The sequence below is a fragment of the Homo sapiens genome, chromosome 3, assembly GCF_000001405.40.
Source record: "Homo sapiens chromosome 3, GRCh38.p14 Primary Assembly".
NCBI classification, from domain to species: domain Eukaryota; kingdom Metazoa; phylum Chordata; class Mammalia; order Primates; family Hominidae; genus Homo; species Homo sapiens.
In genome coordinates, this window is record NC_000003.12 from 62,654,705 (window position 1) to 62,673,942 (window position 19,238).

The 19,238-nt window shown below is 42.6% G+C and overlaps 1 protein-coding gene across 51 annotated transcripts in view, besides 2 other annotated features; it reads right to left on the reverse strand.

The window, feature by feature from the left end:
- Positions 1 to 19,238, reverse strand: part of CADPS (calcium dependent secretion activator) — a 477,069-nt gene that overhangs the window by 256,357 nt on the left and 201,474 nt on the right. For all 51 annotated transcript variants that reach the window (NM_183393.3, NM_001438352.1, XM_011534199.3 and 48 more), the window contains exon 4: positions 7,610 to 7,690. In NM_183393.3, coding sequence (NP_899630.1) covers positions 7,610 to 7,690 — 81 coding nt within the window. The remainder of the gene's footprint in view (positions 1 to 7,609; positions 7,691 to 19,238) is intronic.
- Positions 14,079 to 14,579: an enhancer, noted in NCBI's record as "H3K27ac hESC enhancer chr3:62654458-62654958 (GRCh37/hg19 assembly coordinates)". NCBI's record gives its function as "activates a minimal SCP1, AML or CMV promoter by ChIP-STARR-seq in naive H9 embryonic stem cells {active_cell/tissue: H9 hESC(naive)}" and the evidence as "EXISTENCE:reporter gene assay evidence [ECO:0000049][PMID:30033119]".
- Positions 14,580 to 15,080: an enhancer, noted in NCBI's record as "H3K27ac hESC enhancer chr3:62654959-62655459 (GRCh37/hg19 assembly coordinates)". NCBI's record gives its function as "activates a minimal SCP1, AML or CMV promoter by ChIP-STARR-seq in naive H9 embryonic stem cells {active_cell/tissue: H9 hESC(naive)}" and the evidence as "EXISTENCE:reporter gene assay evidence [ECO:0000049][PMID:30033119]".

Below are 19,238 nucleotides of genomic sequence, written 5' to 3' on the forward strand. Positions count from 1 at the left end.
TGACCTGTATCTTGCCTCCTCATACTGGGGCCAAAACCTCAGTGAACTACATGGTATTTGGTGTGGGTGGGGGAACTTGGTAAGTGGGGAATTTCTGATTTTAATGCCAGTTGCTGGCTTGGTAGTTGCCAGGAGGATGAAGAAAATAGCTAGCGTTTGTGAAGTGGGTTCTTGCTAATCAATTTTGAGAGACTGTCTTGTCAAGTGCGGTTCCTTCTATCACAACTTATCTTAGGGACTCACTCAGTGCCTTTTAACTCCACAGTCCTGAGATTTTTTTAGGAGGCCCGGTGGTTACAGATGCCACCATGCTGACTGAGGGTTAGCTCCACCAAATTCTATCTAGCAAAATATTGGGAAAATCCAAAGAATGATCACTCCTCCCAGAACTTGGACAGTTCCTAATGACATCATAAAAAGAGGCTCATAAAAACTGAAGTCTGCAAGGAAAACAAGGACATTTTTCTGGTGCAAGGACTTAAGCCTTGGGAAGAAATAGCATACTGTCAATCCAGGCTGAGTTTCTTGAGTGGAGTTTTTCAGTGGCAGACCCATTGCAAACACATTTCAAAGCTGAACTTGTGCCAAAATAAGGAAAATGCAGTCGTCCATCTCCATTGCTACTTTTTCAAGCACAAAAATAGATCAGCCTTGACAGAAGAATTGTTTATTCATATTGCTTTATGAGAAACATAGCGTATGGGTGGGCAAAGTCCTCCAAAAAAATCTCTGTTGGCCATTTATTTTTGTTTTGGGCTGATAACATTCCTCAGTGGAGACAGCCTCCCAAGGACAATTCCCACTAGGGTTATTTATGCTCTGAGGGATTTTGGAACATCTTTAAAAATAGCATTTGAAAGTTCTAATGCCTCCCTTGGCTGCTGGCTTTTCTTTTCTGGTTTTGGATTTTTACCCAGAGAGGATGAATGGGGTATGTATAAATGATGACAAGGCTGCCCCCCTTCAGAGTGAGGTTCCCTAGACCCCAAAGACTCAAATGACAAAGTTGGTGGGTGATCAGAAGGAGGAATGTGACAGAAGGGCCGGTGCTAGACACTGGAGCTCACTGACAGTGCTGCAGCTATTTAATCCAATCTCTCAGACACTTCCTGGGCTTCTGTCATGTGTCAGGTTGGTATGGCTGTCACTGGAGATGAGAAAACCAGCCGAGAGGTGATGGTATGGGGGGACATGCCAGAAAGTGACCAGTTAGTGACACATGAAGCAACAGAGGCGTGCAGAGTACAAAGAGGGCATCAAGGAACTCATCCAGTCCATGACAGTGAAACGGACTCGACCCTGAATGCTGGGTCTGCTGCTTACTAGCTTTGTAAGTTTGGACAGATTTCTTCACCCATCTGAATTTTGGTTCCCACATTTGAAATGAGGATAATAAACCTCACAGAATTATTGTGAAAAGTAGAGATCATAACATGAATATGTTTTGATCACTGACACACACAGCCTCTCTTTACACACATACACCCCTTGCAAGCACTATGCTCCTACCACCACCACTACAAACAACAATAGTACTAATAATGATGGTGCCTATAGTAAAGATAATAATGTTAGTTGGCACTTACTGAGTACTAACTATGTGCTGGACACTAGGTGAAAACTTTACATGCTTTATTTTACCTTATCTAATCCTTCCAACAACCCACTGATGCACATGCTTCTATTTATCCCTATTTTTTGGAAGAAAATGAGGCAGAAGTGTTAAGCAATAGTTACTAGAGTTAAACTTGAAACCTAGCAGAGTTTTTGTTCTTAGCTATGATAGGATAAGGCAGAACTATCTGGCTCCAAATGTCTATAGAGCTGAGGCAACTCTGGGGGTTCTCTCTGCATGGTGCATCCTGTATGCATCATCTCCTTTCATCCTGGTCAGCAGAAGGCTGGTGATGGCTGAGCCCTCCACAGCAATGGCCATTCCACCATTACCCAGACAATGTGCACTCTGTAGGATTAAGCACAGGGAGTAATGAGGATGGGGTCAGCAGGTTAAATGAGAGAAAGAGGTCTTGGTATTAATTTGTCAAAATAGGCATTGCAGACATTAAAAGGCACTTTGGGCTCAGGCATTATAGTTTTCTAGGCCAGCTTATTTACCCAATTGGTCTTACTTCCTCAGCTTTTATGAACTAGATGGACTTCCTTCCACTTGAACAAGCTTCAGAGGACCCCCCTGGCATTTATATTTTTCCGTGAGCTCAGATTTCCCAGGATTTTTAGCTATTGACAAAGGCCAGAGTCAGAGAGGGGATCCCTGCACACACATTTTGTTTAACTGTTCAGGCAACAAGTTGAAAGAAGTTCCTACTATGTGCTGGACACTTATGTTACTTCATAACACAGCATGGGTGCCATGTCCAACATTAGTTTGAAAGTTGGGGGTTAGTATCTTTCTCTGGTAGGAGAGGATTCCATTTGTATCTGGTTTATGGCAATGTGTGGAACAGAACTTTTCCATCAGATAAATATTTGGATATTATTTCTTACTGATATTTGCAATAGGGCCAGGATATGAGCTACTAATTGTGCTCTGTGTAGAATACGGGTCTAAGTGGCATTTTCATATTTAAAACGACGGCTTGAAGAACCAATGGTGTTTTACTCCCAGACCTCTGCCACTGACACTACAAAAGCTGTATGATTTGTCTTAAATAATTAGCTCAATAATTTTGGAATTTTACACTAAAATTCGGCCAAAAGAACTGGCAAATATCACAGCAGCACTAATGCCACAATCTGTCTGCTTAAGCTCAAATGTCAACTTTTGATCACACAATTTAAATAACTTAGACTTAATTCCTGGGTGAAATTTGGGAACACTTTAATATCAACATGAGAGGATTTGGGAAAATGTTTGAGCAGGGATTACCAAGTCTTTTCTACCAGATTTTAAAAAATGCATTCATATTTCTTTCTGGAACTTTTAAGGCAGCATGACTGATGTTCACAGTGAGACCATCTCTGTCTGATGTTCTTGTGCAGCCGTCTCTGTCTGATGATTCGTGAGATGCTGGTGCGATTGAACTGACAGATTACACTGCAAGGTTGTGGGTAAGGAAAAGTCAGCTTGCTTTTGCCTCCCTTCCCTCCTAGGAAGAGAGGACAGACATGTCTTTCAGTGGAAATATGTGATGATGAGAATGCTGCTGGCAAAATAACCAGGGTCCCTACAATATCTTTTCCAGATTCTAAAAAAATCAAAATAGAGAGGATTCTGAATTCTAGGAGCCAAATCTGCCTAATGCTGCTGCTTCATATGGGCTTCTGGATAAGCTGCAGGGAACACACAGCAACTTCTAGTGGAGAAAAGAAAGCAGTTTCCAGGAGGGGGAACCAGCAGGGAGTGAAGAATTGGGGGAGTCCTGTCCTGGAGTAACTTCCTGCCTTTCTTCTGAGTATTCTAAAGAAATAGCATGAAACGTGGAATTAGACAACTCAGTTTTCTGCATAGTAGTTGTGTGCACTTGAACATGTGTACACTTCTTGATTTGCCTATACTTGGGAGAATTAATGTAACGCCAAAGATTGTTCATCACGGGTCTAAATGAGATTTTATGTGAATTGCACAGCCAGTGTCTGACTGACACATTTAATAAAGGACTGATTAGCAGAGAGAGAGTTCAGGATGAGGCAAGGTAAAAGCCTGAGTAAAGGGCATAATGGATCCTTGGATTGGTATGAGGGGGAAAGTGAGGGCCTATATCTGGGAATATATTTTGCAATGATAGTATGCATACTGGTTAAGAGTGCAGACTCATTAGAGAACCTTGGTCAGATTCTCTAATGTCTCTGCTTTAGCCTCCTCATCTGTGAAATGGGGATAATAATAGCATCTTTCTCATTAGGTTGTTGGAGGGTTAGATTCTCAGATGTAAAATGCTTAAAAGAGTATCTGGCACATAGGAAAACACTAGGTAAGTGATAGTTATTACTATTGGGTACATCTGGAGTGCTTCCCAATTCATAATGTCCACTCCACCCACAGCCCCACTTCTTCCCACCCTCACCCTAAATGATATATCCCCAGCATCCATGTATTCAACGAGACTTTCACCCCTTTTTCCATTGTAGATTGGTTAACTGCACCAGGGGTTGGCCCTTGAACCAAGTTGGGCCAGTGAGAGTTCTGATTCTTAGCATTGTGAATTTGCAGGGGATAAGAAAGAAATGATAATGAATGTGACACATGGAGATGGGAGATGCAGGGAGAGTCCTGATCACTCTGCAGGCCCTGGTTGTTCTTTCTTGGGTTCTGGCTGCAGTTTCTCTGCAGGTTCTGTGAAGTAGTCCTCCGTCTCCGATCTCCTCTTTTACATAAGCTTGCTTGAGTTGGTGCCTCTTATTTGCAATCAAAAGTGCTCTACCCATCTTTTAATTCAGAGAACGGAGTGAGTTACATATGATGGATGACATCTATATCCAGGAATTTCTGGTTATGATATTTACAGGAGCTGACATTCAGCCATATGGGTTGAATTGCACATCCTCACGAAAATTCACTGTGATGCTGGAAATAGAAAAATCGGGGCATGCTAAAAAGAAGATAAGCAGAGGTGATTTGTCTTAATATCTCTTCATGAACTAGCCAATATCCGAGATCTTGATATTTTATTTAATATTTAGTGGAGGAGATATTTCACAATTTTCATCAGTATTAGCCAGGCTGGTTTAGGCAAGGGGAGAATTTATTTTTCTTGGGATCCAACTAAGCTGAGGGAAAAGCAGGTACATGGCTGAAGCTTAAGAATAATTACAATCGGGGACTTAAACGGATGTCCTCAGGATTGTGGGCTCCTTGACATCTCAGTGTAGACTCTGTCTCTGTTTCTATGTGTTGGCTTTATTTTCTCATCATCTTTTCCCTATATGGAAGAAGTGCACATTGCTACAGGTATCTTTCTACCACTGGAAGACAACAGCCTTGCTGACCCACAGTCCACAGGCCCTACGAAGGAATTCATTGGTTTAGTTTGCATCAAGTTTCCATTTCTGGACCAATCACGTGTGGCCAGGGCAGGCTGGAAACTGACTGCTTCCACCTGGGTGAAGAAGAGCTCACTCCAGGACCAGTTAGCTATATAGCAAGGGGGCCACTGGCATGAACGAACATTGCAGAAGACAGTCAATTTCTGAAAGAACAGGAGACAGTAGAGGGCACTCTATCTCATAGAAACCCTCAATACCCTAGACAGGGACCCTCCATATATACTGAAATCATTTTCCGTGCTCTGTAAATAATAATCAAGATCCACTTTAATTGCCTACTTCATTGTCTAAGAATGCTTAGGTCTAAGTTGTTAATAATATCTCATTTAGCTTCAGAATATTTAGTGGTGGGGGTTGGGGGAGAGAGTTCTTTGATTTACTATTCAGAGATGAGCATCTTGGCTCATCCAGGTTCTATTAAAAATTAAAATTAGCCTAACACCAGTTTCTTAAATTATCATGTTAAGCCTTAAAGTAAACAAAGCAAGTAAATTAAAGGTGCCATGAGCTTGTTTTTGAGGTGTGTGTGATTTTTATTTAGATGGGATGAATACTTTTTAGTTGGGAATATACTCGTTGTCTAAAATGCAGATGAATGGACCAAATGACCTCCATTTTCTGGATAATCCACCAGTAGGAAACATTTTTACAGGAGAAGTAAATTCTAAAGCTTTATTAATGTTTACTGTCACATTAAGTGGGATTTTAAAGCGTAACCTTTTATAATACCTTTAGCCAAATCCATAAGCGCATACTATTTTTAGCCACCAGGCTGACTTGATTATAAACTTTAAAGGTGTCCAAAAACAAGATGCAAAACATTTCAGTAAAACTGCTTAAGCACAGGGGGATTTTGATGCTTCTTGGAATCTCTCTGGCTTCTCCTCCAGTAGGATTCTTTTCCATACCTCCAAGTCTGGAGACACCTCTTTCCATAAAGTGAAAAGCTCTACCCTGTGCCCACCCTCCCTGCTGTTTCTAATAACCCCCACCCTCATATGCCCACAGGGCCTGTGAATACAGTAGGAATCATCAGGAGCCTGATGCTATTTACAATTTTTATATTTTATTCTTCATGGATTTTTTTGGTATTAATTGTAATTGAAAAATACTTTACTAAAATAGTTTATTTTGATTAACGGAGGCCCGTTTAAATTTTGTGCCTGACATAAGCCCGGTGCCAGCCCTGATATTTAGACAGACCTGAGCTGAGGGTGTGCCACAATCTCTTTGCTGGTGCCCAGCAGGTTCAACCTGGACTTCCCCATCTCTAAACCAAGAATGATAACTGAAATATCCTTGGAGGGCTGTTTTGAGGATTGACTGAGTTGGTACATGTGAAGCATTTAGCATGCTAGACACAGAATCAGCACTCAACTAATATGACTGGCATGACTACTATTAATAATATCAGAGATGGCAGGGATAGCAATAATGGTAGATAACACTTAGCTGTAGTCATCAACAGTAAGACATAACCTCAACCCTTGAGGAGTTCTATATACTGGGAGACTCAGACATGTAAATAAATGATCACCATTCGATGAGCTGCTATAATAAAGGTTGATATGCGATCTGACGGGAACACAAAGGTGGAAAGGACTAACTGCTAAGCTCTTAGAGAAGGTGTTTTAAGTCAGGTACTGAAGGCTGAGTAGGTGAGTTTGCTAAGTGAGGGGAGAAACATGGTTACTCCAGGTTGAGACACCAGTGGGTATAAAGACACCAAGCCTGGAAAGGGCCTGGTATATTTGGAGGGAGACATTCTCTGTAGTTGGACTCGGGAGTTCCGGTGGGAAAGTTGTGCAAGGTGAGGCTAAAATGAAAGGGTAGAGTCTGTTGGTTAAGAGTCTTGATTATCATTCTAAAGAGGTTAGATTTTGTCCTGGGAGCAATGAGGGAATCTATTGAAGGATTTTGAGGCTCTGTTTTGAGATGTTTGTATATGAGTTTTATCCGGGCAACTGTGTGCAGGATGGATAGAAAATGGGGGAACTGCAGCCAGGGATACCCATTGGGAGGCTATTGTAACATCCAGGTGCTGAAGATGAGGGCCTGGATCAAAGCACCAGTAGTAGGGCTGGAAAACAGTCAAGAGATCTGACCCACATTTAAGAGGCAGTCACTGGAGGCAGGGTGGCTGACTGAGTGTGGAACATTGCAGGGAGAAAGGAGAAACTGACAATGGCTAGGAGGTTTCATCCACAGTGATTGGATATAGAACAAGAGAAGAGGAGTAAATATAGTTATGTGTGTGGGGTGGGAGGAAGACAAGGAGCTAGATTTTGAAGGCATTCAACCTGAAATGCCAGGAAAATGTTTAAGTGGAAATGTTCAGTAGACTGTTGGAGCTATGTGTCTGGAACTCAGAAGGAATGTTGGAGGTCTGAGCTTGGGTATTCACTGGAGCATAGGAAATGCATGAGGTATCTCTGGGAGAGCTTGCCTTGAGAAAGGAGGGCTGAGGGCCCAATGAGGGTGATTGTCCTCATCTTCCCTCCTCTCTGCTTCTCAGCTTTATCCTTTAGAGGCTGTCAATAATCAATGTGCTTCCTGAGTGGGACTTTGGCCTGGACCCCAGCAAACAACCACAATGTTTCCTTACCCTGGCTATTTGGTCTGCCATTTGTAGACGTCCATCCAGCTCTCGTCTGATCTGGGCTGCTTGCTCATCTGGATTGTCCAGCTGCACAAAAGCACAGACATTGAGACTTTTAGTTTGGGTCACAAGTGCCAATAAACTCAGGACATTCCATTTTATACCCCCTTGCACTGTGCTCCATGGACATATTTCAGTTAAAAAAAAATTCTTATAACCGACAAATCCAGTCTGAGTGAAATTCCAAGTTAATTCTTCTAGACAGAGCGTGATATGGTAGGCAGCTGCTAAGACAGGCATTTGAACGACCTTGCAAAAGAATCATCAATCTCTTCTGAACTGTTGGGCAGCAGTGTTTCTAATGAGGACCAATGCACACTTCTTTTTGGCCCAGTGACCAAAGTGCTTACACGGCAGATGTACAAGGAAGGAGACGGCAATATAACTATTAGAAATGTCAGGAGCAGACATAGTGCATATCCCCAGTGCACACATGGCACGGGTCCAGCCGCTCTCCACCTCTGGACCATGGAGGATTAATAAGTCATTGCGTTCCTTCTCTTTGAACGCTGAGACCTGTACCAGCCCTCCAGATGGCTACTTCCAATCAGCTGGTGTTGATATCTAAGTTGAAATCTATCCCTGTCTTCCCTGATAAAGAGAACTATTTGGATATAAAGATCAGAGCACCCAGGCATAAATAAGCCTGGACAATTCCCTAACTTCTCTGTTTTCAGTTTTTTCTATCTAAAGAAAAAGGGGTCAGTTATGTAGTCTTCATCCCTTTTACAAATTTCTGTGACTCTTTGAAAGGAGTAGCAGACATTTCTGTAAAGGGACCTATATTCAAAACTTTAGGCTTTGAGGGCCATAAGATCTCTGTTGCAATAAATCCACTCCTCCCTTGCAGGTGAAGACAGCACTAAACAATATGTAAGTATAGATAATATATAAGTGAATGTAAGGGCTGTAGGTGAATGAGACCCACTATATTCTAATAGAATTTTATTTACAACAGGTGGCAGGCCATAGTTGCTCATTTCCATTTTATGAGTTGAAACTATTATTTCCAAGCAACCCCAGCATTTCCTTTCAAGCTGTATTGAGTCTGCTTATTCAGAAAGTTATATTTTATTCACAGAAAAGTTTACTAAGGAGCAGTGGCATTTAAATAAAATGGTTTTTATTCCTCTTTTTAGTATATATTAATTCAAAACAAAAAGTAGCATAAGAAATATGTGAGTTTTCTAAGTCCCTTTCTTCTAAAATCAATTTTAGAAGAAAGTTTAAAGCTCCCTGCCTCCAAAAAAAAAAAAAAAAAAAAGATTCTCACCTATGCTGTGAAATGATATAGCAAATAAGTTATTTGGATTATGATATAAACAATAACACTGGAAAATATATGGTCATACTTTTGAAGCATCACAATTAACCTTCTTTGGTTTATTTTACAAAACACATTGAAAATCCATCTGGCTTTATGCTGTACATTTTAATCACCCTGTTCAATTCAGGAACCAGCATCACTTTATCTTCCCCTTTCCACAGTTTGGGAGAAGGACTTTTCCTTAGATCATGAAAACTGGATTGCAACATTTGGCTAGGTATTCTAAGGCAGTATTTTCCAAAGGGTGTTCTGTTACAAAGTCTTCGAGAAGCTCTGCAGTAAGAAAATTTGTTAGATTTTGACCAACTCAACTATTTATTTTTTTTCCCCCGAGATGAGGTCTTGCTGTCTTGCCCAGGCCGGAGTGCAGTGGTGTGATCTCGGCTCACTGCAACCTCCGCCCCTGGATTTAAGCAATTCCCCTGCCTCAGCCTCCTGAGTAGCTGGGATTACAGGCGCATGCCATTGTGCCCAGCTAATTTTTGTATTTTTAGTAGAGATGGGGTTTCACCAGGTTGGCCAGACTGGTCTGCGAACTCCTGACCTCGTGATACGCCTGCCTTGGCCTCCCAAAGTACTAGGATTACAGGCGTGAGCCACCATGCCTGGCCCCAACACAACCATTTTTAAACTGAAGCTAGAATTTTTATTTTTTGCATAATACTCATAGAACATGAGTTGGAAACTCTCTTCTAAACAAACGTAAAGCACACCACCCAAAAGCAGTCACATGACTGACCAGTCGTCCATCCCAATAACCACTTGTTGACAGGCACACACACGTGGGAAATACAGTGTCCTCAGTGCTGTTTTTAGGTTCCAATGAGCTGCTTTTCTTTTTATTCCCTTGGGAAGCCCAAAAGTTCTTCAGCTCTAAGTGCAAATCCACTGGGAACACTCAGAAATGTCTTGTTCAAAATACATATGCAAATGAAACATTCAACTACTTCACTGGGAAGCAGCAAAATGATTTGGTTATTGTCTAAAGTTGGTTAAGAGCCAAATGATTTGGTTAGGAGAATTTCGTCGGAAGATATGGTGCTCGTACAGGTTAAAACAGAAGTGGGAAAATACAGCCCAACAGAACCAGCTCCATTACTAAATTTTCCAGAGGCATTTGGGTTCTCCCACTGGCTTCATAGAAGGCAACTGGAAACAGCAGAAAATGCTGGCAATGAAGATGAGTAGGCAAGGTCTACATTAAGCTTAATTTATTCTTTTATTCATTACTTCACTAATTTACTCATTCATTCATTAAATTTTTATGGAATATCTTGATATGTCAAGATATTGGAATAAGAAAGGAACAAGTCCCTGACTCCATGGAGCTTAAATCCAGCAAGAACAGGCATGATTTGGGCATAAAGAAGAAAGGATTAGCATTTATTGATGCCTGTACCAAACACCAAATACCCTATGACCTGTTTTACAGCCTTTTCTAAAGGGTCCCAAGAAACAGAGGCTAATGTGCATTCACACAGGAAAAAGGATTCTGGGGTGAGGAATTGATGATTCCTCTTGAAAATTTGTAATATGTCAACATAATCAAGACTTGGAGAAATTCTAGAGTAAATAATTGTTTTTAACTGCATTTAACCTTGTCTTTTACACAATTATTCCACCAAAAATCACAGAGCAGTTTGGAAAATTCCACATGTGAAACAACTTTGTAAGGTTGGTATCATTATCCCCATTTGACGGATGTGGAAACTGAGTCTTGGTAAGGTAGAGGAACATGCCCCAAATCACACTTCTGGTAAAGTGGTACTAGTCACCTGAAACCAAGTCTGCTCTGCCTCAAACTGGAACTCTTTTGCTCTGCATTATGTTGGCTTCATACTTAAGTGCCTTGTTTGGTTTTCTAATTGATCCTGACAGTTAACTAGCTCAGCAACCTCACTTTGTTCCTTGTAGACACGGGCCAGTTTGATCCATAGAGCCACCACTGGGGACAGAGAAATGTCAACCCTCTGTCACTTGTCATGACTGATTTCTTTTGGGGAGGCTGTAGCAGTGCTGGATTCCTCCCTAAGAAATAATAGCAATGGGTGTGTCCTTATCCTGGTTGTGCCACTTAGTAGCTGTGTGACCTTGGGCAAGTTACTTAACCTCTCTGTGCTCCAGCTCTTCTCATCTAAATAATCAGGTTAATGAGACCTGAGGTTGTCATGAGAATCAACGGAGACAACGGATATAAAGGGCTTAGTCCATGGCTTGGCATGCAGCAAACCCTCATGAATGGTGGCTGCTGCTCCTTGTGTTGTTATTTTAGAGCAGTCCATGTTGGCTGCATTTCTGACATGGGCCACAGTGGGGCGTCAAAGGTTCAGAAGAGAAGGCACCAGATGGGACAGTGTCCCTCACTGGCGTGAATGTAGGGTGTCGGTCTGACAGTCTGTGCAGCAGAAATGATGTGATCAGAGGCTCCCATCTCTTGACAAATTTCCCTGGCTTTTCTGTCTCCCACTTTCTCTGGGGTCGAGTCCCCTTGCTCTGTTAGACTTTAATTAGCGGGAGTGACCAGAAGGCGGCCACTGCTGCCTGACAGCTAATGATCTGAAGAGAGGATGAAAAGGGAAATGCAACTGAAGCTCCCTAAAATAGCTTGGCATGATAGAGAAGGCCATCCTCGCGTGAGGAGCTTGACAGCTCCACTCTATGAAATCCCAAAATATAAAGAGAAATCAAGTAATTACCTTTTCAAGGGCTGGAAAGAAAAAGCAAGAGAGTGAGCTTCCATGGAAACAAGGTTCTGTTTATTGCGCTGGTCTTTTCCACTGAGGAAAGGAAAGATCAGCTGGAGAACCAAGCCAAGGGCAAGCCTTTCACGTTGGCAGATCATTAGGGTTCAAAAATGTACATGCGCATAAAGGCTCTTTACCTAATTAGACAAATAATCTTCCTACTAGAAGAGGTCAAGCAGAGGCTGTGTGGTTGTTTTGACTTGTCAGTCAAGTAGAGGAAAATAATTCCTTGGGCTTTTCCTTTAAAGTGATGGAGAACTAAGCCCAGCACTGTGTAAGTGTAGACAGGTATTGCCTGAGCCATCAGTTCAAGTCCACCAGAGACAATTGTCTCTAGCTCATGGGTGGTACTCTTTCCGTCAATGCAGAGATGAAAACTCTGTCCTGTTACTGTAGGGCCAATTTAAACACAGGCTTGAGATATAGCAGGGTGGAGTTGCACCCTTGCAACCTTGTCAAGTTTCTTAACCTCACCATGCCTCAGTTTCTGCATCTGCAGAGTGGACATCATTTTATCTTGCATAGCTATTTGAAAGGACAAAATGACAAAATGTGCTGCATTGTCCAAGGGAAGTCAGACCGACTTGGTTCCAATCTTGTTTTTTTTTTTTTTTTTGCCATTTCCTTACTGACACAGAGTGAACAAGCAATCGAATCTTTCTGAACCTCAGTTTCCTTATCTGTAAAACTGGGATAAGATACCTACCCTGGCATGTTATGAGGATTAAGTCAGATGATATACATTCAAAGCACCCAGTGAGGTAGGTGTTGGCACATAGAGGTCCTATAGTTTAGCAAAGTTTATAGAGTTATCCCCTATTTTAGAATGGGGAGTCACCAGATGTTAATTCTCCTCCCTGCCTTTAGGATATATGAAAGAAATCAGACCAGGGTGGGGAACCCTGGGACCCTGGAATGAATGTTAGGAACCTGTGTTCTGATCCTTAGTTTGCCTTTAGCTGTGGGATCTTGAGCCAAAGTCGTGACCTCTCGGTGCACAGTCCCTTCATCTGAGAGAAATGACAAGATTTCAGCTATTGTGTTTCAGGATTATCTGAAAAGCCTAGACTGGTATTTCCCAAAGTTATATTCTAGGGAATATCAGTCCTGCAGGTTCTCTAGATCCTCGATGGGAAAGGATTCTGTGATCAAATAAAGTCTGGAAACTCACTCTATCCCATTTCTGGAGACACACAACACACATGAGCAAGAAATCCTACACCAAGGCAACCTCATGCAGCCCCACATTCCCAAATGTACCTGATCATGTGTTCCCAGGAACACATTCTGGGATGTGCTCACCTAGGCAATTTTCCTGTGTGCTTCATTTTTCTCACGTCTGCAGACAGAATTTTGGGGGTGGGGGGAGACAGGGAGGAAGCAATCCCACTATGCAAATAGGTCTACGTATCAGCAAAATGATTCACACCTGGGAATGCCCTGTCTGACCTCTAGGGGGATGAAGAAATTGTCAAAGGGCCTGGGCCTGGAGCCTCCTTATTAGCTTCAGAGGCCTTGGAGAATTGGCCTTGACAGTGCGCCTGGGAGACACCCTTGGGTACCAGCTACCCCTGGGCATGCCTGAATTTTCTGGTGCTCATGCACTAACGATGATAAGGAGGCAACTTCAACCCTAGACTCTTCCAAAGTCATCAGTGTCGCTGCCAAGAGGCAGCCTTCAGTCAACCAAAGAGAGGATGTGATTCAAATACACAGAAAATGTAAACAGAAATAGGCAGATTACTTTATGCATTATTTGAATAATTGTTCTGCTTTCTGGAAAAACCTATGGTTCTGAGCTTCAGAGTAAATGAACCAACTTCAGCCTCAGGACTAAAGTGATAGTGATCCAGACTGGCTGGAAGGAGTTTCAGGGATAATGTAGTAACCTCAGACTAATGGTGTGGCCCCCTGCTGAGCTCTGCAGCCTTGTCGGGCACCACATCCTCCCCCAGTATGCTCCACTGGATACTTCACTCAGGCTTTTGGGAGGGCTAGCTTTCTCCTGCTGCCAGGTTTTTGCACAGGCTGTTCCTCATGCCTGGAGCACTCTTCCTTATCTCTCCCTTGACTGGTAACCCTTTCTTATCCTTCATCCTTCAGCTTTGCAGCAACTCTGCTCTGTTCTCCAGATTTGTGAATTTCTCCTGTCTCTCCTTATAATGATGCACCTTTCCTTTCCCTTACTAACATATATCACCATTAATTTACAGGTACTTATGTGATTTGGTGTTTGCCTACTAGGCTGTAAGCTCCATAAGGGCAGGGATGTGTGTTATTTTGCTTATCTCTGGATCCCTGGCACCTACTTACGTAGGTGCTACTTGTACATTACAGCGGCAAATACAGAGTGGGCTCTGGGTAAATGCCTGGCAGATGAATAAAATGACTGCCTGACTAGCTACAGGACTGAGTTAATCAGCTGTGACCCAAAAAGGAATGACCTACCCACAGTCGCACAACGATCAGTGAGGGCTGGGACCAAATTCCCAATCAGCTAACTTCTAGTTTGCTCTGTCTTGCTGCCTAGTGGCTGTGTTCCAGCAAGTGCCATTCTCTGCAGAAATCGGTAAAGACTGAACTTTGCTGGCCTATAATCAGTCTCTTTCCTGATTAAAGCGTTCCTTATTCTGGGAATTGGGGATGGAGACAGGGGTCTCTATAAGCAGCTGCAGTGCAAGCCACCTGCTGACCTGGGTTTAGCTTGTTTTCTCGCTACTTTGCTTTCTCTCTACTTCCCAGTGTGCCCCCTGGGTTCCCAGAGATTAGTGTCTGAGATGGAGGCTGCCAAGAGCCACTGCAGAGGAGGGTGGAGGCACCTCCCCATAAAGCACTCCCATCAGCTGGCAGGGCCCTCCTTTCCTCCACAGCCCCATGTTTTTTTATCCTCCTTCAGAGACAAGCTGCTCCAGCAAATGCTGCCTTCCTGGTGCACTGCAGTCTGGAAAGTTACAGCTGGGACAGTGTCAGTTCCCAACCAGGAGATGGGGGTGCCCAAGCTCCTGCCACAAGACTGCACTGGGGTTTGAACTGTGGCTGTTTTTGCCGCATTCAAGACCTGGTTACTGCCTCCAAATTCCTTCCTCTCATTTCCTAAAGCCTGTCTCTTGTGTGTCCACCTTAAATGTAGAGCCTGTAGAACACGGTCAGCAGGTGCCCCCACTCCACTGTCCAAGTTCAAATCTTTGCCTTTCCACTTTAAAGCTGAGCAATCCTAGGAAAGTGATTGGACCTCTCTGAGCCCTAGCTTTTATTTTTTTCAACTCTTTTAACTCTAAATTGGGAACAATAATGATAATACCTACCTCATAGGATCGATAAGAGATTAAATAAGATGGATGCATATGACAATTAGCAAAGTGCTTGGCATGCAGTCACGTTCAGTAAATCTTAGCAGCCATTAGTCCTTGGCATTCCATAGCCTGCATATATTCTCCCTTACAGAAGTTCTGATTCTGCAGCACTTAAAGTAGTATAGCAGATTTCCTCCCCTTTTGGGTAAGAAACCAAGCTTTAAAAGGTTAAGTAGTTTGCCTGTAGTTTCAGAGATAATTAGCTCGAGATAGAGGGAATAATCCTTAGGAAAAAAATCATGGATTTCGGAATCAGAAAACCTTGAGATCTAATGCTGCCTGTGACACATATTCACTGTATGATCAGGGCCAGATGCTTAACCTCTCGGAGCATCTACAGCTGCTGCACTAAAATAACCTCAAAGGACTATTGTAATGATGACAATAAATATTCTCAGACAGCAGGGGTTCAACACATTGTAGGTGTATATAACTCTACTATTATTACTGGAAGAGACTCTGATGAAATCTGCAGCCTTGCCATCCATCCGAGTCTTCACTAAGGGCTCTGTTTCAGGGTTATTTGTAGAAAGAACATGGAGTTCGGTCTCCCATGCAGTCAATTACATTCTGTTGTTACAAAAAATCATCCAAGGAGATGATACTACCTAATCTGTGGAAGAGTTAAAATAAGATCATTTGTGTCTTTCTTTATCATGCCTTATTTCCTTTGCAAGAGAAGACCTTGGGTAGGTCAAAGTTTCCATTCTGAATGATGTACTTCTTGATTGCAAAATGCAGGGTTTAGCTCCCAGGTTTTGCCAGCCAATGAGAACCCTGCTGTATTTGAGTCACCAGTTTTATGTCTTTGCTGGCTTCTGGCAATGCAGTAAATATAACCCAAGAGCTCCAAATGCAGCAATTTTCTGAACAAGCAGCCAATAAATACATTAAAAAAAAACCCAAACAGAAAACCAATCCAGTTCTTTATGATCCTGTAGTGCTCAACCAGTCTTTCCCCATCTTCCCCGCAGTCCTGAAATGACCTCCCCTCTTCTTTTCCTTTCTACCATTTCAAGTCTGATGTGTCATTCAGAATTTGGCTTCAGGCCTTTCTTCAAGAAGCCCTCCTTGATTACTTTAGCCAGGCATCAACCCACTTTTATAGGAATTGCTAGCAAGCTTTCTATGTGCCCTGTGCCTTAGCTCTCTCTTCCACCCCAGAGCAGTCATAGCGCATGGTAGTCAGAGACCCAGGAGCTGGAAACAGTCAGATCTGGCTTCACATCCTTGCTCTGCCACTTTCCAGCTCCCTGACATTGGACAATCTACTAAGCTGCCTCTGTCTGTGCCCTTATTTGCAAAGTGGGAGTCCTAACAGTAACAATGCCAACAGCAGAGGCTTGTTATGAAAACGAAAGAAGATGGTACTCATAAAGCACTTAGCATCATGTCCCAAATATGAGGGGTTGCAAGGTTAAGGCCATAATGTATTACTATTGAGGCCAGAGACTATGTTTTTTATCCAGCATAGAGGATACAGCTGTGTTTTTTTTTTAATGGATTATCTTAATAATCTTTATATCTGGGGCTGGGAGACTGTCCAATTCACCTGCACTATCCTGAAGACACAAGGAACTGAAGCCATTCAAAGAAGAGAGTGGGTGTTGTCTTTCTGTGTAAGTGTGGCAGCCAAAACCAAGGGTATAGAGGAAGCAGGCGGTTTTGTGAAGAAAAATACAGGGGACTAGGCCTGGTCTATCCCTTGCTAGCTGTGCAGTCACCTCCTAAATATCTCTTGAATCCTTCTATGCTGTGTATCCACTTCCCTAAGCCAGGCTCCCATCATCTCCATCCTCAACCACCGATTTCATATTCATCCTCTCTTGCTTCCCTCTGATACAAAGCAGTTCTCCCTCCTGGCTGCATATTTGAATCCCCAGAGAGAGATAAAAGGCAATCCTAATGTTGAGGCTGCACCTGGACCAAATAAATATGATATTCCGGGTTGGGGCTCAGGCAGCAGTATTTTCTGTTTGTTTGTTTTTTGAGACAGAGTCTTGCTCTGTCGCCAGGCTGGAGTGCCAGTGGCGTGATCTCAGCTAACTGCAACCTCCACCTCCCAAGTTAAAGTGATTATCCTGCCTCAGCCTCCCAAGAAGCTGGGACTACAGGTGCATGCCACCACGCCTGACTAATTTTTTAATTTATTTTAATTTTTTTTATTTTTAGTAGAGACGGGGTTTCACCATGTTGGCCCGGATGGTCTCGATCTCTTGACCTCGTGATCCACCCACCTCAGCCTCTCAAAGTGCTGGGATTACAGGTGTGAGCCACCACACCCAGCCAATTTTTTTAAAACCCTCCGAGTGATTCCAACGTGCAGCCAGGATTGAAAACCTCTATTAAAATCCAGTGGTTCTCAAACTTTGGTGCCCATAAAAATCAACCAGAGAACTTGTTAAAACACAGAGTCCGGGCCTCACCCTGGGACAGTTTTGATTCAGCAGGCTTGAGGTGACAACCAAGAATTCATCCTTCTAAACATCTCCTGGGTGGTGCTGATGCTGCAAAACCACACGCCATGAAGTACGAATTTAACTCAGGCTTTGCAAGGCAGGCTGCTCATCTTTTTGGAACGTGCATTTGCTCATGTTACTCTCCTGCTTAAGACCTGTCAATAACGTTCCACTTCCCTTGGTAGTAAGAGCCTGAGACCCTTATCAAGGCGTTGAGAGCTGTTGCCATCTGGCTCCTGCACAGCTTTCCAGCCTCATCTCCCACCACTCTGTCTTGTTCTCTACGCTCAGACCATTCTGTACTTCTAGGTTCACGAACATGACATACTCTTGCTTGGCCCCTGGTCAATGTGAATTCTCTTTCCTCTTCTGTCATCATTCTTTTCCCCCTGAGACAGGGTCTTTCTTTGTTGTCTAGGCTGGAATGCAATGTTGAGATCATAGCTCACTGCAGCCTTGACCTCCTGGGCTGAAGTGATTCTTCCACCACAGCCTCCTGACTAGCTGGGACTACAGGCATCATCATGCCCAGCTGATTTTTGTATTTTTCGTAGAGACGGGGTCATGCTACGTTGCCCAGGCTGGTCTTGAACCCCTAGCCTCAAACTCCCACAGGGGCCTCCTAGAGGGCTGGGATTACAGATGTGAGCCACTGCACCTGGCCCTCTGTCATCTTTGTCTGGTTAACAGTAAATCATTAACCCAAAGCCTAGTATCAATATTGCTACCTTAGGGGCCTTCTTGGTCTCAGCCAAGGTCACCTCTTCTAGGCCACCCTAACATCCTGAACCTCCTCTTTTATCACTCCCATCACATTTGTGTGATTTGCTTCTTGGCATGTTCTGTGCAAGACTGTAAGTGCCTTTGGCAAAGACCTTGTCTGTCTTGTTCATTATAAAAATAGCCAATGACTGATGTATGGTAAGGGAGTAAGAAATATTTGCAGAGTTAAATTTGAGATAGAGATAATAACATCTATGTGGCAGGGATGTTTTGAGGAGTTAAGGTGATGTTTTTCCAGGCACTTAGTGTGGTGTCTGACACTTAATAGGTGCTCAAATCATGACCTAAATAGAAATCTGAATGCAAATGGTTTAAACTTATTAAATTCTGTTGAATGAGTAAATGAAAGTGAGTATTTAAGTGCAGAAAGGACAGAGAATAACTGACTAAAGTGGTGGGAATAATAGAGGTGTGAACCAATTAAACTCTGGGAGTCTCTGCTTCCTCATCTGGAAATTAGAAATATTAGTATTCAACTAACCATTTAAAAATATTCACTAAACACTTGCCTTGTTTCAGGCATTATGTTATGAACTGTGAGAGCAGGATAAATACATAACTTGATAACTTTCAGAATTATTTCAACAAAAAGAAGAGTTATATTTTTCAAAACTAGTAAAACATTGCATATATTTAAATAATTATTTTCATTGCCATTCGTTTTTCAATTTAGTTTTTACTAATTTCTGAAATTTAGTTTGGGCAGCTGATTTGATGGGAAATGGTCACTTTTTCAAAACAAGCCAGAGGTGATTATATTCTCTGGAGATTTTGACATAAACATTATGGGAAATGAAATGCCTTTTTGTACTGTTAAATAATCTTGCTCTTTAAGCAGCATCAAGTCATGGTAAAAAGCATTTTATAAATGGCAAAATAATGAGCTCAACAGGAAGTCCAGAAAAACAT